Source organism: Homo sapiens, chromosome 19 (assembly GCF_000001405.40).
Source record: "Homo sapiens chromosome 19, GRCh38.p14 Primary Assembly".
Lineage (NCBI taxonomy): Eukaryota > Metazoa > Chordata > Mammalia > Primates > Hominidae > Homo > Homo sapiens.
In genome coordinates, this window is record NC_000019.10 from 45,839,748 (window position 1) to 45,862,904 (window position 23,157).

The 23,157-nt window shown below is 47.5% G+C and overlaps 1 protein-coding gene across 3 annotated transcripts in view, besides 1 other annotated feature; it reads right to left on the minus strand.

The window, feature by feature from the left end:
- SYMPK (symplekin scaffold protein) overlaps positions 1-23,157 on the minus strand; it is a 47,738-nt gene that overhangs the window by 24,338 nt on the left and 243 nt on the right. For 2 of the 3 annotated variants that reach the window (NM_004819.3, XM_047439485.1), the window contains exons 2-9: positions 14,644-14,760; positions 14,428-14,493; positions 12,735-12,788; positions 12,565-12,638; positions 9,003-9,129; positions 8,005-8,254; positions 4,283-4,453; positions 2,503-2,742 (exon numbers count right to left, since the gene is read on the minus strand). In NM_004819.3, the coding sequence (NP_004810.2) occupies positions 2,503-2,742; positions 4,283-4,453; positions 8,005-8,254; positions 9,003-9,129; positions 12,565-12,638; positions 12,735-12,788; positions 14,428-14,493; positions 14,644-14,748 (1,087 nt within the window). In that variant the 5' untranslated portion in view covers positions 14,749-14,760. Of the gene's footprint in view, positions 1-2,502; positions 2,743-4,282; positions 4,454-8,004; positions 8,255-9,002; positions 9,130-12,564; positions 12,639-12,734; positions 12,789-14,427; positions 14,494-14,643; positions 14,761-22,152; positions 22,281-23,157 lie in introns of all 3 variants that reach the window. The other variant, XM_011527354.2, reaches the window with a different exon arrangement.
- Positions 22,425-23,063: an enhancer, noted in NCBI's record as "NANOG-H3K27ac-H3K4me1 hESC enhancer chr19:46365430-46366068 (GRCh37/hg19 assembly coordinates)". NCBI's record gives its function as "activates a minimal SCP1, AML or CMV promoter by ChIP-STARR-seq in primed H9 embryonic stem cells {active_cell/tissue: H9 hESC(primed)}" and the evidence as "EXISTENCE:reporter gene assay evidence [ECO:0000049][PMID:30033119]".

A 23,157-nucleotide genomic window follows, 5' to 3' on the forward strand; every position in this document is an offset into this window, starting at 1 on the left:
TGTGAACCCAGGAGGCGGAGCTTGCAGTGAGCCAAGATTGCACCACTGCACTCCAGCCTGGGCAACAGAGCGAGACTCTGTCTCAAAACAAAACAAAACAAAACAAAAAAACACAAAAAAACCACTGGGTGAACGTTTAAAGAGAAACATGTATTTTACATAGTTTCAAATATCTCCCCCAGCTTATTACTGACAAAGATAAAAATGGCACTTGACACTAGAGAAAGCTGGTTGAAACTGTGTTAACCAAGCGTTCAAAAGTTAATATCTCCAACAATGGGACACCATGTGCCTCCTGATCCCATGTACTGAGGCAACCAGGGGATCACCTGAGGCGGGTGGATTACCTGAGGTCAGGAGTTTGAGACCAGCCTGGCCAACATGGTGAAACCCTGGCTCTACTAAAAATGCAAAAAAATTGGTCAGATATGATGGCGCGCACCAGTAGCCCCAGCTACTCGGGAGGCTGAGGAGGGAGAATCTCTTAAACCTGGGAGGCGGAGGTTGCAGTGAGCCAAGATCAGGCCACTGTACTCCAGCCTGGGTGACAGAGCGAGACTGTCTCAAAAAAAAAAAAAAAAAAAAAAAAAGACAAATTTGGTGGGTAAAATATAACTTTAAATATACAAACCCTGGCCAGGTGCAGTGGCTCACGCCTGTAATCTCAACACTTTAGGAGGCGAAGGCAGGCAGATCACTTGAGGTCAGGAGTTCAAGACCAGCCTGACCAACATGGTGAAGCCCCGTCTCTACTAAAAAGACAAAATTAGCTGGGCATGGTGGCACATGCCTGTAATCCCAGCTACTTGGGAGGCTGAGGCAGGAGAATTGCCTGAATCTGGGAGGCAGAGCTTGTAGTGAGCCAAGATCCCACCACTGCACTCCAGCCTGGGCAACAAGAGTGAAACTCCATCTTTAAAAAAAAAAAAACAAACAAATACAAAAATTAGCCCGGTGTGGTGGCATTCGCCTGTAATTCCAGTTACTCAGGAAGCAGAGGTATGAGAATTGCTTGAACCCGGGAGACAGAGGCTGCAGTGAGCCCAGATTACACCACTGCACTCCAATCTGGGCAACAGAGCAAGACTGTCTCAAAAAAAAAAGGATGAGGTAGATTTCTATAAAGAACTCCAAGATGAAAGTAAATGAAACTAAATGAAAACAAGGTACAGAATACTCTGCTTAGTATACTTAATTATGAAAAAACATAGTAAGATCCCTACCTCACTCCTTAGATAAATTCCTTTTTTTTTTTTGAGACGGAGTCTTGCTCTGTCACCCAGGATGGAGTGCAATGGTGCAATCTTGGCTCACTGCAACCACTGCCCCCAGTTCAAGCAATTCTTCTGCCTCAGCCTCCCAAGTAGCAGCAACTACAGGTGTGCACCACCACGCCTGGCTAATTTTTGTATTTTTAGTAGAGACAGGGTTTCACCATGTTAGCCAGGCTAATTTCGAACTCCTGACCTCAGGTGATCCCCTCAACTTGGCCTTCCAAAATGCTGGGATTACAGGCATGAGCCACTGTGCCTGGCAATTCCCCCCCCACCTTTTTTTTTTTTGAGACAGAGTTTCACTCTTGTCACCCAGACTGGAGTGCAATGGCATGATCTCGGCTTACTGCAACTTCTGCCTCCTGGGTTCAAGTGATTCTCCTGCCTCAGCCTCCAGAGTATCTGGGATTACAGGCATGCACCACTACACCCAGCTAATTTTTGTATTATTAGTAGAGACGGGGTTTTTCCATGTTGGCCAGGCTGGTGTCAAACTCCTAACCTCAGGTGATTCACATGCCTTGGCCTCCCAAAGTGCTGGGATTACAGGCGTGAGCCACTGCGCCCAGCCTAATTCCTTATTTTTTAAAATGAAAAAATAAATCTTTCGTAAATGCTCTAGAAAAAAAGTGTGATTTAAGAAAAAAATCTTAAAGTTAAGAAAAGCCATAGTTGACACTATTGATAAATAATACAACCACTAGAAAATTACTTCAGAAAGAAAATTATCTGATAACTAAAACAAAGGAATGAAAGAAGAGCTCCACACTCTACATAAAGCACTTCTGGAGGAAAACATAAAGAAGTGTTCACACCTGGGGAGTGGTTACTTCTTGGGAGAGGGATAAGAGGGATACTATTTTCATTTTATTCCTTTCTGTAAAATTTAAATAATGCATAATTTATTAAACGTATATTTTGATAATTCTATTGTAATTTATATATCATATTAAATACTGTAATTTATTTTTATAATTATTTTATAATTTTTTAAAATTAGAGACAGGGTTTTGCCATGTTGCCTAGGTTGGTCTTGAACCCCGGCCTCAAGTGATCTGCCCGCCTCAGCTTCCCAAAGTGCTGGGAATACAGGTGTGAGCCACTGTGCCTGGCCCACATAACATAATCTATAATATAATCTTAGTAAATACAAATTCAGCATAGTTTAAGGTAAATAATGAAACATTTCAGCATGGTCTGCCTGCCCCACCCCACCAGCCCCTCTCACCCAGCTTCATCTTCTTGAGTGTGGAGTCCGAGTCATCGCGGGGCCGCTTGCGGGTGTCCTTGCTGCTCGGCATGTTGCGGGCGATCTCGGCCTGAGGTGTGCCCAGGTCCACCAGCAGGGTGGTGATCTGGGCCTGGAACTCCAAGGAAGCCGGGTGCTTCAGCACACTCAACAGGTGCAGCTTCAGATTCTTACGCACACTGCTCACCTGCGATTTGGCCAGCGTCGGGGGCAGGTTGGCTGTGAGGAAAGTGGCAGGAGCTGTGTCTTGTGGAAGATCTCATGGCATGCTGCCAGTCTTAATTCTCAACCCCAAACTTGGGCAGTGGTCTTGCAGGCATCTACTAGAAAAGTTCCTTCACCCTCAGATCTAACGTGTGGCTTTCCGCCTTACAAGCTGATGCTTCAAACCCTGGGGGTCTCCATCAGTATCAGTCAATCTTAAAGAGAAAAACTCACCCTCTCTTTTAGTAAATACATACAATTTCGTCCTCCTCCATCTCTGGTCTGGAAATTCACATATGCTTCGCTTGGGGAGGGTTATAATCACCACTTTTGCCTCCAGAAACCCCCAACTGAACTGCTGCAACAGCTCACTGCTAGTCTCCCTGACGCCAGGATGACTTTCTAATGGTCACCCTGATAAGTGAGCCTCCCCTGTTCCACAGTGAAAAAGGATGCCTGTAATTCTGCCTGCCTAGCATCCACTGCCCCTTCCTCAGCCAACAACACAACCCACTCTCCGTTAAGGGAGACCCCCCTTCTCCAGTCTCCTTCCGAGTGGGCATGAGACCTGGGGCCAGTGAGAATACCACATTCCCTTGGCCACTGTAATTGGCTCAGAGACTGGCTCATAATCTCTGCTCAGCCAATCAGAAACAATGACCGTCAGCCCTTGGACTTCTGCTGGAATGGTTGGGAAGGAGACACTCTCTTTCCCATGGTGTTGCTAAGTGAACGGAATGGGAGCCATGAACTATGGGGGGCCATCTTTGCTACCCTAAGGAAAGGGCCAGAGAGTGAAACTAAAATGGAGAAACAAAGAGCTGAGAGATGGAGAAATGCAGATCCACGACCTGTACGCATTCATACCCCAACCCCAGACTTCTCGGTTTTCGTTTCACAAAACAGAGAAAATGGTATGAGTCTCTGTGTACCCATCAACATTTCGCTAATCTTGGAACATCTATCCTCCCTTTTGGTGGGGGGAGAGGACTGGAATATTTGAAAGTATTTCACAGACATCATGTCATTTCACCCCCACATACCTCAATATTAAAGCCAGTCCTGAATCAAGTTTCTGTCACATGCCAAAAGATTCCTGTCTAATGTAGAGAATCTCAGGCCTGCCAGATGGATGACTAGCGCTCGGGGTCCACCACGGAGCTACATTTCTTTAAGAATGAGCAGGCTGAGGCCGGGTGCAGTGGCTCACACCTGTAATCCCAGCACTTTAGGAGGCCGAGGCAGGCGAATCACAAGGTCAAGAGATAGAGATCATCCTGGCCAACACGGTGAAACCCCGTCTCTACTAAAAGTAAACAAATTAGCTGGGTGTGGTGGTGTGTCCTGTAATCCCAGCTACTCGGGAGGCTGAGGCAGGAGAATCACTTGAACTGGGGAGGCAGAGGTTGCAGTGAGCCAAGATTGCACCACTGCACTCCAGCCTGGTGACAGAGCGAGACTCTGTCTCAAAAAAAAAAAAAAAAAAAAAAAAAAAAGAAAGAGCAGACTGGCCAGTGAAGAGAAGGCAGGGGGAGGGGGGAGGACAATGACCTACCATGCAGAGTTTCATAGGCCTGGATCACCTCAGACATGAACATGGGTCTCTGGCGGGCGATATTGGCAAGGGAGCCCAGCGCTGTGGTCAGGTTGATGGAGGAGATGGCAGGGTGCACCATGAACTTAAGCAGCTGCTCCAAGGCTGCCTTGCCCTCTTCCCATAGCACGTCTAAGAGACAGAGAGGAGAACCAGTCAGTGGGATCCGTTTTCCCAGGCCTCTGGAGACAGCAGCTTTTGGGACTAAAAGGAAGGACAGATCCTGGTACCTAGATGTCTATGAATGGCGGGAAAAACAGAAAATGTGGTGGTTGATTAGTTCTATGAGACTATTAATGAGTATAAAAATTTAGTTATAAGGGGCTAGACGCAGTGGCTCATGCCTGTAATCCCAGCACTTTGGGAGGCCAAGGCAGGCAGATCACTTGAGGTCAGGAGTTCAAGACCAGCCTGGCCAACATGGTAAAACCCCGTCTCTACTAAAAATACAAGAAATTAGCCCAGGTGTGAAGGCCTGTGCCTGTAATCCCAGCTACTTGGGAGGCTGAGGCAGGAGAATCGCTTGAACCCAGGAGGCAGAGGTTGCAGTGAGCCGAGATCGCGCCACTGCACTCCAGCCTGGGTGACAGAGTTGGACTCCATATTAAAAAAAAAAAAAATTTAGTTATAAAGATGTTCAAAGCATGGGCTTGCAATAGTGAAAGACTAGAATACATGTGTATATACACACAACTCAAAGTCCCTTGTGACACCACTCCCCTCAATACAGTCCCCAAAATTAATGCTTAAAACTTTGGTGGATATCTTTCCAGACCTTTCCTATACAGAAACATAACGAATGCCATATATATGTTTTTAACTTAAAAAATTTTAATGGGTATATAGTAGGTGTAAATAATTATGGGGTACATGAGATTTTGATACAGGCATGCAATGCATAATTATCACCATCAGGGTAAATGGGGTCTCCATCACAAGCATTTATCCGTTTTGTTACACACAATCCAATTATACTATTTCAATTATTTTAAAATGTATGATTATTTTTTAGTATAGTTACCCTGCTGTGCTATCAAATACTGGATCTTTTTTTTTTTCCCTGAGATGGGGTCTCACTCTGTCACCCAGAGTGGAAAGCAGTGGCGTGATCTCGGCTCACTGCAACCTCCACCACCCAGACTCAGGTGATCCTCTCAACTCAGCCTCCTGAGCTGCTGAGACCACAGGCACATGCCACCATGCTTGGCTATCAAATACTAGATCTTATTTGTTCTAACTATTTTTTTGTACCCATTAACCATTCCCACTTCCTCCCCAACCGCCCATTACCCTTTTCAGCCTCTGGTAACCATCATTCTACCGTCTGTCTCCATGAGTTCAATTGTTTTCATTTCTAGCTCTCACAAATAAGTGAGAACATGCAAAGTTGTCTTTCGGTGCCTGGCTTATTTCACTTAATGACTTCCACTTCCATCCATGTTGTTGCAAATGACAGGATCTCCTTCTTTTTTATGGCTGAATAGTATTCAATTGTGTATGAGTACCACATTTTCTTTATCTATTACTCTGTTGATGAATACTTAGTTTGCTCCGAAGTCTTGGCTATTCTGACTAGTGCTGCAATGAATATGGAAGTGCGGGTTATCTTTTTGATACAGTGATTTCCTTTATTTCGGTTACATATCCAGCAGTGGGATTGCTGAATCATATGGTAGCTCAATTTTTAATTTTTTGAGGAACCTCAAAACTCCAAACAATTTTTAGGCTGTAGTAAGTGACATTCTCACCAACAGTGTACAAGTGTTTCCCTTTCTCCACATCCTCGCCAGCATTTGTTGTCTTTTTGATAAAAGTCACTTTAACTGGGGTGAGACATTTCATTGTAGTTTTGACTTGAACGCCACATTATTTAAAATAGTGAATTAGGCCGGGCGCGGTGGCTCACGCCTGTAATCCCAGCACTTTGGGAGGCCGAGGTGGGCAGATCACGAGGTCAGGAGATCAAGACCATCCTGGCTAACACAGTGAAACCCTGTCTCTACTAAAAATACAAAAAATTAGCCGGGCGTGGTGGCGGGCACCTGTGGTCCCAGCTACTCGGGAGGCTGAGGCAGGAGAATGGCGTGAACACGGGAGGCGGAGCATGCAGTGAGCCGAGATAGCGCTACTGCACTCCAGCCTGGGTGAAAGAGCGAGACTCCGTCTCAAAAAATAAAAGTGAATTAAAAATCTAAATGACCATCAACAGAGCATTGCTTAATAGAATGTAATGTAACTATACTATGGAATATGGTATAGCAACTATATGATTCTCACAGGGAAGGACGTCACTGATACTATTAAGTCAAAAAGGCTGTCAAACAATACATAAGAATAGTTAATATTTATGGAATGTTTACTATTCCAGCCATATTAATACACCAAATGCTCATACCTACATCCTAAATTAGATGCCATAATAACGATCCCCAATTTACCAATGAGGAATCAGGCTCAGAGACAAGGGAAAATAGGCTGTGTGTCAGACACAAGCTACTATAATGTCTCTGAGATGAAAACACAAAGCATGGCCTCATTTTTGCAAACAGAAAAGCAAACAAATGCAGACACTATGCATATACACATACAAATACCTACATGTGCACAGGAAAGATCTGAAAGGAAACATAATACTCTTAACAGTGTTTATCTCTGGAAAGCAGGACTGAGGGAGGGGACATTATTCCTTTTGATTCACCCATATTGCTTGACACCAAGTGTATATATAGTACTTTTTTTTTTTTTGAGACAGTCTCATTCTGTCACCCAGGCTGGAGTGCAGTGGCACAGTCTCAGCTCACTGCAACCTCTGCCTCCTGGGTTCAAGCGATTCTCGTGCCTCAGCCTCCCAAGTAGCTGGGATTACAGGTGCCCGCCACCATGCCCGGCTAATTTTTGTATTTTCAGTAGATAAGGGGTTTCACCATGTTGGCCAGGGTGGTCTCGAACTCCTGACCCCAAGTGATCTGCCTGCCTTGGCCTCTCAAAATGCTGGGACTATAAGCATGAGCCACCACACCTGGCCTATGTCCTACTTTTATAATTTGCAGTTAAGAAAACTGTAAAACTGCCCGGCGCGGTGGCTCAAGCCCGTAATCCCAGCACTTTGGGAGGCCAAGGCGGGCGGATCACAAGGTCAGGAGTTCGATACCAGCTTGGCCAATATGGTGAAACCCTGCTTCTACTAAAAATAATTTTTAAAAAAATTGGCCAGGTATGGTGGCGGGAGCCTGTAGCCCCAGCTACTTTGGAGGCTGAGGCAGAAGAATCTCTTGAACCCGGAAGGCGGAGGTTGCAGTGAGCTGAGATTGTGCCATTGCACTCCAGCCTGGGCGACAGAGGAAGACTCCATCTCAAAAAAAAAAAAAAGAAAACCATAAAACTAGCTAGCATCGACTGGCTCACACTCATGGAACTTCACTACAAACCTGTGAGAGTGGTACTATGTTATCGTCTCCAATTTACAAAAAAGAAAATGAAGTACAGAGACAGGTAACTTGCCCAAGTTCATGATGAGTAAGCAGTGCAGCTGGGATCTGAACCTAGCACCAGGGATCTTAACTACTGCACACACTGTTCCAGAAATTTAAAACCAAAAAAGACAAGGGGGAGAGAGGGAGGGGCGTGAAGGAGAGGAAACTGGTGCAGGGCTGTCAGGGGTGGCAGCTGAAGGCAGTACTCACTGTACTGGATGTAGGGGTGGTCACGAGGGATGCGGTCCAGGCTGATATCATGCTCCTGGCGTCGGGGTATCTCTGAGTCAGCCATGCGGGGTGACAGGGTGACAATGAGGCCCTCCACAAACTTGATGGCGTGGGTGCGGATGCCGTCATTGTCAGAGTCCAATAGCAGGATGATGTCCCCCGCCATGGCAGATACCATGTCCCAGCAGGCCTCCTGTAGCTCGCTAATGACCCGTGACTTTACCATCCACTGCCAGCAGGCCAGGAAGGAATGGAAGAGACACACAAAGAGGTGAAGACAACGCATCAATCACCAACACCCTCTGCCAATACCCAGAGAACCATGAATGATGAATACATTCATTTGGTTAACAGTTACTGAGTTCCAACTCTGCCCCAGCCCAGTGCTCGGTGATGCTGGAGACAGGACTGAGTAGTGGCCAGGCCTCGCCCTGCCCTCATGGGGATGCAGAGAGTGACCACTCAGTGTGATGAAGGCACACATCTTCAGGGTAAAGGACTAACAGTGCTGACTTCACAAGGTGGTGGTGATTAAATGGATTCATTCGTTTTATTAATGCTAATGTACATCACACCATAGAGTGTTCTTTTCCTATCACACTCCATAATCAATATTTATGTGATTCATTAATTAAGGTCTACCTCCCTCCTTGGGTTATGAGCACTGTGAAGGCAGTAAGCTGTCTTGGTCACTGCTGTGTCCCCAGCATCACCTAGCCCAGGGCTAAGCACAGAGGACATACTCAGGGAATGTCTGTTGAGTGAATAAACGGATGGTCAATGGAAGGAATGAAGGTTAAGTGCAACTTCCTGACCTAGGAGACAACGTTAGCTCTCCATGTTATCTGTTCCCACAGACCAGTGGCACATCTTGCCCATAAAGAGTATGCTCGGATGCTGGTTTTGAACCCCAACATATTAGTTTGTCAACGAGACATATCAGGCAGGATGGCCCTGGGTGGGGAGGGCGCTCTCACCTGCAGGGCCACCTTGTAGAGCTGGGTCATGGTGAGGATAGCCTTCTTCACCACGTTCACATTCTCGTCCCTCAAGAGCATGTTGAGGTTTGCAATGAGTTTCAGCAGCAACTCAATGTCTCGCTTGCTGAGGGATGGAGAAAAAAGGGGCGAGGTCAAGGTGTGGTCTTAGAGCAAGTAGGAGGAGCCTGAGGTCCAGGAGGGAAGGGAAATCAGGGACCTGTCTCAGGGGACCGGAATGGCACATCCAGAAGCTGGGAACAGTGCTTGGTGCCTCCAGACTGAGCCGCCCCTGAACCCTCTATCTAGACTGGTCCTGTAACACCAACTCCTTTGCTCTCTCAGGGCCCTGCTGTTCACATAAGGGACAGTAGGGGCAGACAACTGTGTGAATTTGGACAAGCGACTTCACCTCATTTAGAATAATAGTATCTATCCAATTGTTTATGCAATTTTTTGGGAAAATTGCAACAATACTTGTAAAGTGCTTAGAAGAGTGCCTGACATGCAGAAAGCATTCAGTAAACACCAAAAAGCATTCGGTAAACACCAGCCATTGCTACTTTAAAGCACTTTGTTTTCTGTAATCACTAGTTTTGCTTGCCTCAGTCTGAGGGCTCAAAAAGTAGGGACCCTTTCCTAGCTTGGCAATAACCCCAGCAGGGTCATTTTCATTGAAGAAAAAAATGAAGGGCCTCCAACAAATGTTCAATGAATAAATAGGAGCTCAGCACAGAATTTTCACAGCATACATTACAATCTGAAATATTAATTAAATCAGTCAAAAAATATGAAACTTAGCTGTCAGCTACATGAAGGCAGGAATAATACGTTTTTGCTCACTGCTATACTACAGCCTAACATGGATGCCTGGTACGACAGCAGTCACATGGTATGTATTTGCTGAATGGACTTTTTACAAATTCAGAAAATTTACCACAAATTCTCCCAGTAAATGGGGAGATAGGATATTTGGGTTCTGGCATTGCAGACATGAGTTAAAATCCCAGCCTTGGCCAGGCGCAGTGGCTCACGCCTGTAATCCCAGCACTTTGGGAGGCTGAGGCAGGTGGGTCACCTGAGGTCAGGAGTTTGAGACCAGCTTGACCAACGTGGTGAAACCCCATCTCTACTAAAAATACAAAATTGGCCGGGCATGGTGGCGGGCACCTGTAACTCCAGCTACTTGGGAGGCTGAGGCAGGAGAATCACTTGAACCTGTGTGGTGGAGGTTGCAGTTAGCCGAGATCGCACCATTGCACTCCAGCCTGGGCAACAAGAGCGAAACTCCATCTCAAAACAAAAACAAAAACAAAAACAAAAAAAAACAACAACAGAAAACAAAATTAGCTGGGTGTGGTGGCAGGCACCTGTAATCCCAGATACTCGGGGGGGCTGAGGGAGGACAATCACTTGACTCAGGAGGCAGAGGTTGTAGTCAGCCGAGATTGCACCACTGCACCCCAGTCTGGCCGACAGAGTGAGATTCCATCTCAAAAAAATAATAAATAAATAAAATCCCAGCCTTGCCACATTCTGGCTGTGTGACCTTAAGAAAATTCACTTCACCTCTCTGAGACTGTTTTCTCTTCAGTTAAAGGGTCAAACAACTGATCCATAGTATTACGAATAATGAAGCTGCTCAAGCATTTAATACAGTGCCTTACAAACAAATATTTAATACACAGTAGCTAGTCTACTTCCTCCCAGTCACAAAGCATCCAGTAAAGCTTTAATAAACAAATGAGCAAGTGACCAGCTTGAACAAGTCACTTGACCATTCTGAGCCTGTTTCCCTTTCTGTAAAAAGAGGATAACCACAGTATCCATCGAGGCTGCCATAATTACGGAGATAACACGGGAAAGGACCTGACACAGCGCAGGGCACAGTACGTGTTCCATGTGGTGACTGTTATGTTCAACTCATTCACGTGTGCAACAAATACGTAGTCAGCCCCTACTAGGTGACAACACTGCTCCAGGCAGGTACTGGGGACAAAGTGGCCAGCAAGACAGAAAAAGTCAAGCCCCGTCCTCACAGAGCTGATATTTTGCGGGAAGAATCAAGGTTATTTCAATGAGTGAGGAACACTGTAAAGAACAGTGAAGGTGGGGTGCCTGAGACATGGGGCTGCATGGGAGCGGGCAGGAAGGAATTTCTGAGGAAGAGACCTGAGGGAAGGGAGGGGAGAGCCAGGTGGCAACCTGGGGACGAGGGCCCCTAGCAGGAACAGCAAGCAGACAGGCTGCGAAATCCAACTGTGACTTCTGAGGAGCAGGGGAGACAGAGAGGATCAGAAGTGAGATGAAGCCGAAGTGAGAGTTTGGGTTTCCACCTAAGTAAGCTGATGAGCCAGCTGGGGTCTGAGAGCAGGGGTGTGCCAAGACTGATTTACATTTAACAGCGTCACTCTGGCTGCTGAGTGCAAGAGTGGAAGCGGGAAATGAGTGCGGTGATTCCTCTTTGGGGGATGAAATGCCCTGGAACGAGATTGTGAACGTGCTAAATGCCACTCACTTGTTCACTTTAAAATAGCTGATTTTTGCTGGGCGTCGTGGCTCATGCCTGTAATCCCCGCACTTTGGGAGGCCAAGGTGGGCCAATCACTTGAGGTCAGGAGTTCAAGACTGGCCTGGCCAACATGGCAGAAACCCCATCTCTACTAAAAATACAAAAATTAGCCAGGCATGGTGGCACGCACCTGTAATCCCAGCTATTCAAGGAGGCTGAGGCACAAGAATCTCTTGAGCCTGGGAGGTGGAGGTTGTAATGAGCCAAGATTGCGCCACTGTACTCCAGCCTGGACAACAGAGCAAAACTCAGTCTCAAAAAAAAAAAAAAGGCCAGGCACAGTGACTCACACCTGTAATCCCAACACTTTGGGAGGCCAAGGCGGGCAGATCACCTGAGGTCAGGAGTTTGAGACCAGCCTGGCCAACATTGCAAAACCCCTTCTCTACTAAAAATACAAAAATAAGCCGGATGTGGTGGCGCATGCCTGTAATCCCAGCTACTTGGGAGGCTGAGGCAGGAGAATAGCTTGAACCCGGAAGTCGGAGGTTGCAGTGAGCCGAGATTGCGCCACTGCACTCAAGCCTGGACAACAGTTGAGCGAGACTCCGTCTCAAAACAAACAAACAAACAAAAGATTAAAAAAAAAAGCTAATTTTGTTATATGAATTTCAATTTAACTAAAAAGAAAAAGAAGGGAGCCAGAGAGAGACCACTGAAGTCATCAGGTAGGAGGAAAGGGTGGCTTGGGCCTGCATAGTGGCAGAGGAAGTGATTGACAAACGGTCAGATGCTACAGATATTCTCAAAGTGGAGCCCACAGTCCTTAGTGATAATGTAGATGTGAAGTGTGGAAGAAGCAGAGGAATCACAGATGACCCCAGGGTTTCCATCTTATTAAGTATTTGCTGGGGAATCAGTGTGTATGAGAGAGAGAAAGGGTCTGGGAAGCAGAGGGCAGGCCTCTCAGTGGTGGCCTCCAGGCCAGGCCACGAGCTGAAGGCTGCCACCAGTGAGAATGCTCCCGGGGCTCCGTGCCTCGCCCCATACCATGCCTCCTCGATGAAGCCGATGACAAATTTTCGCACTTCGATTGACTTGTCTGCTTGGAATGCGATGATCTCCTGCCAATGTTAGAGAGAAAGTGGATCAGGGCTACACAAGGATCCACATCCCCTTTCCCCTACACCACACCCCTTTCTCTTCTGTCAGTCACTCACATCCAGGAAGTTGTCCAGTAGTGTGGGGTCTTTGTTGATGATCAGCTCCTGGACCTGGAAGGAGATTGGGGGTGGGGAGGAGGAATACCCATATAAAACGAGGGGCCAATCAATGCAGACAGGAGAGTAGAGGGGAAGACAGCAGAGGGCTAGGCAGCAGATACACTCATTTCAATGCCTGGCTCTGCTTCTCCCTACCAAGGGTGCTATGCTCTGGGCATGGTCTCTGAACCTCAGTTTGCTCTTCTATAAAATGAGACTCTTAAACATCAACTCAAAAGGGATGTTAGGAGGCTACAATGAGATCCTACAAGGCACAGGTCCTGGTAGATAGTGAGGACATGACACAGGAGGGGGCTGAAAAAAAGAGGAAAGTGCCCCAAGGCTCAGGCCTTCCTGAGGTTTGGCCTCCATTCACCTGTCCATCAGTTCTCCCCACTCTCCTTCTGCTTCTGCTCCCTACTTCACATTGCCATGATTCAGCAAACATCTTCACAGTGAGAACCCAATTCCTGAAGCCCTTGTGCCTGCCAGGCTCTTTGGAGTAAGCCCTTCCCATGGACATCCTCCAATAAGCAAAGAGCTGGCACAGGACCTGGCTGCTACAACTCAAGCTACTATTGCTAAACGGCCTCATGACCACCCATGGGGGAGGCACCAGGTGCATCCACTCCACCTCGGAGGTGGGGCTACTCCACAAGGCTACAGGCTGATGAAGGAGCCGAACGGGTTCTCACACAGGAATGCTAACCCTGCCAGTCTCTGAACTCCAACTGCCTCCTGCTCTGAACCATGCCCAGCCCAAGTGTCCCATGTCGTCTTCTGCCTTTGCACACACTTCTGTGCCCTCAGCTTGACATGCTCTCCCTCTCTTGGCTGGGCACGGTGGCTCGTGCCTGTAATCCCAGCAGTTTGCGGGGGCCAAGGAGGGTGGACCACTTGAGCTCACGAGTTTGAGACCAGCCTGGTCAACATGGTGAAACGCGTCTCTACTAAAAATACAAAAATTAGCCAGGCATGGTGGCAGGTGCCTGTAATCTCAGCTACTCAAGAGGCTGAGGCAGGAGTTGCAGTGAGAGCCAGGATCGTGCCATGGCACTCCAGCCTGGGCAACAGAGCAAGACTCTGCCTCAAAAAAAAAAAAAAAAGAGATGCTCTGCCTCTCTCATTTGGTACACTTCTCTCCTTTTATCCTCCATGGCTTGGTTCAAAAGTCCTCCCTGACTCCCCATCCCTAGGCTGGGTCAGGAGCTCCCTCTGGGCTCCCAGAGCCCCCCTGGGCTCCCTTCTCCATCCCAGCCCTGCCCACACTGGGTCATCATTGCCTGGTGACAGGAATGTCTGCCCCACTGGACTGGACACTGGCAGAGAAGAAATGCAATGATGAAGAGTGTAGGATTTGGAGCTGGAATCCAGGATTCAATTACTAGTTCAGCCAGCTCCCAGCAGAGTGACCCTGGGCTAATAATTTAAGCCCCGGGGTCTGCTTCTTTCTGTATAAAACAGGGATGAAACTACCCTGCCTTACAGAGCTTTCATGAGAACTAGAAGAGCAGAGGCCTGCACTGAGCACTGTGGCCGGCACACACTGAGTGTGTAAATGTGGACACTGGTGTTACTGCAAGTGTCTTTCTCAGGTTCCCAGCCTCCTCCCTTTCACCTGCTCAGCCCAGGATGCCCCCCGGGCCCTCACCTGTTTGAGCACTGTGATCTTTGAGTCATTGGTGATCAGCGCCGCCTGGTTCAGAAGATCCACCACCTGGAAGGAGGGGGAGTGGCAGGGGATAGTGCCAGCCCAGTCCAGCCCAGTGCAGCCCCCTCGGCACTCCCAGGGCTCTGCCACCTAAACAGGGATTGCCAAAGCCAGGGGCTATGCTTCCTCACTCCAAGCCCTACCCGCCACGCTCACCCTCTCTGAGGTGGTCATGCCATCGATGCCCGGCCCCTCCTCTTGAGTGAAAAACTGTGATGCCACGCTCCGACGGGTGACGCTGTCTCCACTGCCGCTCGCCATGGCTGCTGTCAGCTTGTCCCCAGGAAAGAAGAGGATGGATCAAGCTCAGGGAACCAGCGGATGGGCTGGGCTGGATTGTCACCCGAACACCTACAAAGGGCCCAAGCCTCCTTCCCAGGCTGTTCCTCCCCAGTCAGGCCTTCTCAAGTCCCTCTCCCCTCCAGGGTCTGTCTCTGGCTTATGGATATGTGCACGGGGCCTGTAACTTGGGGGAGACTGACATCTCCCAAGGCAGAGCCAGAAGTCTCAGCCTCAAGTGGGCCAACCACAAACAGCTGCTGAACGATGGGCCACATGAACGTGCAACAGCCACCTTGCAGGTCTCCGTGTGTCCCCTCTCTCCATCTGGGATATGCTTTGGACTGGGCACCACAGCAAACTTTCTTTTTTTTTTTTTTTTGAGATGAAGTCTTGCTCTGTCACCCAGGTTGGAGTGTGGTGGTGCGATCTCAGCTCACTGCAACCTCTGCCTCCCAGGTTCAAGTGATTCTCCTGCCTCAGCCTCCCAAGTAACTGGGATTACGGGCACATGCCACCATGCCCAGCTAATTTTTGTATTTTCAGTAGAGACAGGGTTTCACCATGTTGGCCAGGCTGGTGTCAAACTCCTGACCTCAGGTGTTCCACCTGCCTCGGCCTCCCAAAGTGCAGGGATTACAGGCGTGAACCACAGTGCCTGGCCCAGAGTAAACTTTTAAAAACACAGCTCTGAGGAATATCAGGCACAGAGTCCGGCACATAGTAGGCACTCAATACATCACAAAAGGCCTGCTTCAATAATTATGTTTCAGCCACTCTCTGGAATATCATGAAGCTGTTTTTAAAAGGGAGGAAGGGGGCTTTCAGGCATCCATCACAGTCACACAGGCAAAATTATGGAATGATTAACGTAGCAGTATATGTCAATTACACAACTATTCATAATAGCAAAAGACTAGAAGCAACTCAAGTGTTCTCAAATAGGGAGACTGGCTGAAAAAAAGTTCATACATAATCAAAGGCCATGGGGCTTCAACACCTGTGAAAGTAAGTGAAAAACATATAAATATAAATAAAGGAAAAAGACTATGGAACTGTAACAAGAAAGGAAGAAAAAAACAAAAAAATGAGAACAATCTCTAGACACTGATAGAGAGTGCATACATTAAGTGAAAACAAGCAAAGCTGAAGACAGTGTTGACTGTATGTTTCTGTTTTACAAAAAAAAAAGAAAAATGAGGCCAGGTGCAGTGGCTCATGCCTGTACTCCCAACACTTTGGGAGGCTGAGGCAGGCAGATCGCTTGAGCCTAGGAGTCGGAGAGCAGCCTGGGCAACATGGTGTAACCCTATCTCTACAGAAAATATAAAAATTAGCTGGGCATGGTGGCGTGCCTGGTAGTCCCAGCTACTCAGGGAGGTGAAGGCAGAGGCTGTAGTGAGCCAAGATCGGGCCACTGCCCTCCAGCCTGGGCAGCAGAGTGAGAACTTGACTCAAAAAAAAGAAAGGGGAAAAAATATATATGTTAAAAAAGGAAAAAAATCTGAAAGGATAAACCAAAAACCAGCAGAGGAAACAGGGTAAAAAAAATTGGTGAAGCCGGGCGCGGTGGCTCACGCCTGTAATCCCAACACTTTGGGAGGCCGAAACGGGTGGATCGTCTGAGGTTAGGAGTTTGAGACCAGCCTGGCCAACATGGTGAAACCCCATCTCTAGTAAAAATACAACAGTTAGCTGAGCCTATAATCCCAGCTACTCAGGAGGCTGAGGCAGAAGAATCGCTTGAACCCAGGAGGCGGAGGTTGCAGTGAGCCGAGATCATGCCACTGCACTCCAGTCTGGGACATAAAGACAGACTCCATCTCAAAAAAAAAAGGTGAATCTCAGTATATTATCCTGAAAAGAGGTCCCTGACAGCCTGTTGCATCAGAGGACAATACATGCAGTTCAAGCCATTTTTGTCAAGTATGTGTTTATGTATACGCAGAATGACCTGAGGCAAGACATTTAACTTCTCTGGCTCTCAGTTTCCTCTTCTAGGAAACAGGGATAGTAACAGGGCTTACCTCCCAAGACTATTTTGAGGATTAAATGAGTTAGTATATACAGTAAACATTGGCTAAGTATACTATTATTTTTATGTACATGGGAAAAGATCTGAAGGCTACTGCATAAACTGCTAACAACAATTATGATAATTAATAATAATTTGGCCAGCTCACGCCTGTAATCCCAGGATTTTGGGAGGCTAAGGTGGGAGGATCAATTGAGCTCAGGAGGTGGAGGATGCAGTGAGCTGTGATCCCTACCACTGCATTCCAGCCTGCGGACAGAGCAACACCCTGTCTCAGAAACAAACAGGCCAGGTGCAGTGGCTCACATCTGTAATCCCAGCACCTTGGGAGGCTGAGGTAGGCAGAACACCTGAGGTCAGGAGTTCGAGACCAGACTGGCCAACATGGAGAAACACTGTTCCCTACTAAAAACATACAAATTAGACAGGCATGGTGGCGCATACCTATAATCCCACCTACTTGGGAGGCTGAGGTGGGAGAATCACTTGAACCTGGGAGGCAGAGGCTGCAGTGAGCTGAGATCACGCCACTGCACTCCAGCCTGGACGAGAATGAGACTGTCTTAAAAACAAAACAAGGCTGGGTGCGGTGGCTCACACGTGTAATCCCAGCACTTTGGGAGGCCAAGGCGGACGGATCACGGAGGTCAGGAGATCGAGACCATCCTGGCTAACAAGGTGAAACCCCGTCTCTTCTAAAAATACAAAAAAATATGCCGGGCATGGTGGCGGGCGCCTGTATTCCCAGCTACTCGGGAGGCTGAGGCAGGAGAATGGCATGAACCCGGGAAGCGGAACTTGCAGTGAGCTGAGATCACAACACTGTACTCGAGCCTGGGCGACAGAGTGAGACTCTGTCTCAAAAAAAAAAAAAAAAAAAAAAAAACACACACTAAACAAACAAACATGCCAAAAAAACAATAATCTGAGGACGGTGAAAATGATACTTTTTTCTTTTTTTGAGATGGAGTCTTGCACTGTCGCCCAGGCTGGAGTGCAGTGGCGTGATCGTGGCTCACTGCAAGCTCCGCCTCCTGGGTTCACACCATTCTCCTGCCTCAGCCTCCCCAGTAGCTGGGACTACAGGCGCCTGCCACCACGCCCGGCTAATTTTTTGTATTTTTAGTAGAGACGGGGTTTCACCATGTTAGCCAGGATGGTCTCGATCTCCTGACCTCGTGATCCGCCCGCCTTGGCCTCCCAAAGTGCTGGGATTACAGGCGTGAGCCACCGCAACCAGCCGAAAATACTTTTTTTTTTTTTTTTTTAGATGGAATTTCACTCTTGTTTCCCAGGCTGGAGTGTAATGGCACAATCTCAGCTCACCGCAACCTCCACCCTCCCAGGTTCAAGCAATTCTCCTGCCTCATCTCCCAAGTAGCTGGGATTACAGGTATGTGCCACCACATCCAGCTAATTTTTGTATTTTTAGTAGAGACGAAGTTTTACCATGTTGGTCAGGCTGGTCTCGAACTCCTGACCTCAGGTGATCTGCCCACCTTGGCCTCCCAAATTGCTGGGATTACAGGTGTGAGCCACAGCGCCCAGCCGAAAATGACACGTTTTTTAAAAGGAACTACCCAATAGCTATTCACAGTAGTATCACATGATAGGGGTCTCCTCAATGAATGACGAGCCACAGCCTCCTCCCTAGTTTCCCTGCTGCCTGTCACCCCCTATCTTGCTCAGGGTCAGGGCCAATGTCCCCATCAAGGCCTACAAGATTTTATGGCATCTGGCCTGTTCTTCCTCTGACTGCCTCTCCCCCTGGGCTCTTTGCTCCACCCACTCTGGCCTCCTCGCTGTCCTGTGAACATGCCCAACATGCCCCTTCCTCAAAGACTTTGTGCCTCTCTTCCGTCTGCCTGGAATATTCCTCCTCCTAGATATCAGCACAACTCCTTCCCTCTTCATTTCCTTCAGGTCTCCACTCACATGTCTCTGCAGTAAGGTCTTCCCTGACGACTATGTTTCTTTTTTTTTTGAGACGGAGTTTCCCTCTTATTGCCCAGGCTGGAGTGCAATGGCGTGATCTCAGCTCACAGCAACCTCTGCCTCCCAAGTTCAAGCGATTCTCCTGCCTCAGCCTCCCTAGTAGCTGGGATTACAGGCATGTGCCACCACGCCTGGCTAATTTTGTATTTTTAGTAGAGACGGGGTTTCTCCATGTTGGTCAGGCTGATCTCGAACTCCCGACCTCAGGTGATTCGCCCGCCTTGGCCTCCCAAAGTGCTGGGATTACAGGCATGAGCCACCGCGCCCGGCCGACGACCATATTTCAAATTTTAACTTCCTCTCGATCCCCATCTGTGTTGCTTTTTCTCCATAGCATTTATCATCATCACACACTACATATTTATAAGTTCCACGAGGACAGTGATTTATTTATTTGAAATCATTTTTTGGTAGAAGCAGAGTTTCGCCATGTTGCCCAGGCTGGTCTTGAACTCCTGCACTCAAGCAATCCACCCTCCTTGGCCTCCCAAAGTGCTTGGGATCACAAGTCTCAGCCATCGCCCCCGGCCTAGAACAGGGATTTTGTTCCTTCACTTTTTATATTCCCAGCACGGAAGAGTGCTTGGCACCTAGCAGGAGCTCAATAAACATCTGCTGAATGAGTGAACACTACTGCCAAACGGCCTCCCCAATCACTGGGTTCAGTATTCCTGCCCTTTCACTCTTGAATCCTAATAGCTATACTTGTTCTACTTTTTCCCCCTTTCTCACTACTGCACTTGACAAGTCTTTAAAAAAAAAAAAAAAAAAGGGCATGGTGTGGTGGCTCACTCCTGTAATCCCAGCACTTTGGGAGGCCAAAGTGGACAGATCACTTGAGGCCAGGAGTTCAAGACCAGCCTGGCCAACATGGCAAAACCCAGTCTCTGCTAAAAATACAAAAAAATTACTTGGGCATGGAGATGGATGCCTGTAATCCCAGCTACTTGGGAGGCTGAGGCATGAGAATTACCTGAGCCTGGGAGGCAGACGTTGCAGCGAGCCGAGATTGCGCCACTGCACTCCAGCCTGGATGACAGAGCAAGACTCTGTCTCAAAAATAAAACAAAACAAAAACAAAGAAAGGAAAGAAAACAAAAATAGGACGGGTATAGTGGCTCACAATTGTAAACCCAGCATTTTGGTAGGTCTAGGTGGGAGGATGGCTTGAGGCCAGGAGTTCAGGACTAGCCTAGGCCTAAAAACTAAAAAAGAAGGCCAGGTGCAGGGGTTCATGCCTATAATCCCAACATTTTGGGAGGCTGAAGCAGGAAGAGTACTTGAGGCCAGGAGTTTGAAACCAGCCTGGGCAACACAGCGACACACCATCTCTAGACATATGCACAATTAGCTGGGCATCGATATCATGCCACTGCTCTCCAGCCTGGGAGACACGGTAAGACTCCATCTAAAAAAAAAAAAAAAAAAAAAAAAAAATTAGCCAGGCATGGTGCCATGAACCTTTAGTCCCAGCTACTCTGGAGGCTAAGGTGGGAGGATTGTTTGAGCCTGGTTGTAGTGAAGTATGATTGGGCCACCGTAGTCCAACCTGGGCAACAGAGCATGAACCTGATGAACCTGTTTCCAAAAAAAAAAAAGAAAAAATAATCAGTTAATATATATTGAACACGGCCGGGCACGGTGGCTCAAGCCTATAATGCCAGCACTTTGGGAGGCCAAGGCGGGTGGATCACCCGAGGTTAGCAGTTTGAGACCAGTCTGGCCAACATGGTGAAACCTCATCTCTACTAAAAATACAAAAAAATTAGCCAGGCATGGTGGCAGGCACATGTAATCCTAGCTACTCGGGAGGCTGAGGCAGGAGAATCGCTTGAATTTGGGAGGAGGAGGTTGCAGTGAGCCGAGGTCACATCATTGCACTCCAGCGTGGGCAACAAGAGTGAAACTGCGTTTCAAATTAAAAAAAAAAAGAAAAAAAACCCACACACACAGAGAGAGAAAGAGAAAGAGAGAGAGAGAACACTTAATATGTGCTAAGCACAATTCTAAGATATACATATTAACTCATTTAAACCTCAGACACCAAGGTTTAAATGAATTAATATGTATATATTAGAATTAATATACATGAGTTAGGTTTACATTTTTTGTTTTTTTGAGACAGGGTGTCACTCTGTTGCCCAAGCTGGAGTGCAGTGCCGCAATCTCAGCTCACCGCAATCTCTGCCTCCCGGGCTCAGGCGATCCTCCTACCTCATTTTCCCAAGTAGCTGAGACTACAGGCGAATCCCCATTTAATTTTTGTACTTTCTGTAGAGAAGGGTTTCGCCATGTTGCCCAGGCTGGGAGTTAGTATTTTTAATTTTCATTTTACAGATGAGGAAACTGAAGACCAGGGAGGTAAAGTGACCTGACCAAAGGCATATAGCTTGTAAGAGGCAGAGTCAGCAGCATGGCTGCATATCTTCCTTACCACTATGCTACAGTACTGTTTATCTGAAAGGAATTGTTTTTTACCCCCAGGTCTGTTTACGTAAGCCAAGGATCCTGGCCACCAGACAACCGGCATGGCATGCCGTCCCCAGTCAAAACATAAAAAAAACAGGCCGGGCATGGTGGCTCACACCTGTAATCCCAACACCACTGCACTCCAGCCTGGGCGACAGAATGAGACTCTGCCTCAAAAAATAAAATAAAATAAAATAAAACCCCATAATAAACATTTCCACTTTTTTCATGATAATACATTCAGATCAACCAAAATATTTTACCCTGTTTCATTCTTCTTCTGCTTTTTGGTTTATGCTTTCAGTTTTGTTTTGTTCTTTTTTAAACACACATACACAAAATTCTCCTGCAGGAGCTAGATTTTATGCAAAAAAAGGAAAAAAAATGAAAATAAAAAAACCCATATATACATATTTCCCTTTCATTTACAAAAAGAGCATACACAGGGCCGGGAGCGGTGACTCACGCCTGTAATCCCAGCACTTCGGGAGGCGGAGGCAGGTGGATCACGAGGTCAGGAGTTCAAGACCAGCCTGACCAACATGGTGAAACCCCATCTCTACTAAAAATACAAAAATTAGCCAGGCGTGGTGGTGTGCCTGTAATCCCAGCTACCTGGGAGGCTGAGGCAGGCGAATTGCTTGAACCTGGAAGGCAGAGGTTGCAGTGAGCCGAGATCACGCCACTGCACTCCAGCCTGGGTGACAGAGTGAGACTCTGTCTCAAAAAAAAAAAAAAGGAGCCTACACAGGCCGAGTTTGGTGGCTCAGGCCTGTAATCCCTGCACTTTGGAAGGCTGAGGTGGGCAGATCACTTGAGGTCAGGAGTTCAAGACCAGCCTGGCCAACACAGAGAAACCCCGTCTCTACTAAAAATATAAAAATTACCTGGGTGTGGTGGGGCACGTTTGTAATCCCAGCTACTCGAGAGGCTGGGGTGGGAGAATCACTTGAACCAGGGAGGTGGAGGTTGCAGTGAACTGGGATCGTGCCAGCCTGGGCGACAGAGTGAGACCCTGTCTCAAAAAAAAAAAAAAAGAAAAAGCATATACAATAAACACCAACCTCCACTTCACTTGTTTTCCCTTAATATATGTTGGAGGCCACTATATCAGTGTATAGAGATTTTCATCATTTCCTTTTATCTACCTCATTCCTTTTTAGAGTTGCATAGTATTTTTTATGTGGATGTATTATAGTTTCTTTCAGCCAATCTTCTTATTTAAGAACATTTGGGATGCGTGTAGCCTTTTGCTATGATGAACAGTATCACTGTTTCCCCTTCCCTCTCGATGTACTCGTTAAGAAGTGGTACCCTGCCCCACTGCTACCTAGGAATCTGATGACTACCCTGTTTCCCCAAACTGGCTCTAGGAGTATCTTTTATTCCTTCAACGAACATTAGCTGGGCGTCTCCGGCGTGATTGGCGCTGTGCTGAGAACACAGTGGCGACAGAGACAAACCTAGTCCCTACCTTCATGGAACACACGGTCATAGACATCATAAAACAGCACACAGATAAGAGTCGGATAACAAATTAGACCACACGTGACATGAAGGAACACGGACCGACAAAAGCATTTAACAGGCGGATTTCTGGATGGAGGGCAGGGAAGGAGGGCTTCGCAGAGGAAGTGACGTTGGTGCCGAGACCCGAAGGATGAAATGGGAGTTAGCCAAGCCGAATGGGTAAAAGGATGTTGCAGGCAGAAGGGACAGCCTGTGCAAAATCCCCGAAGCGGGAAAGCGCATGGCAAGTTTAAGGAACCGAAAGGCCAGGGCGGCTGTTAGAGGTGGGGGAAAAAGCAAAGAGGCCGAGTCGAAGCAAGCGAGGTCTGCGGGGCGGTGGCGCCCGGGGGGCCACGTTGGAACTTTGCCTCGAGGGCACTAGG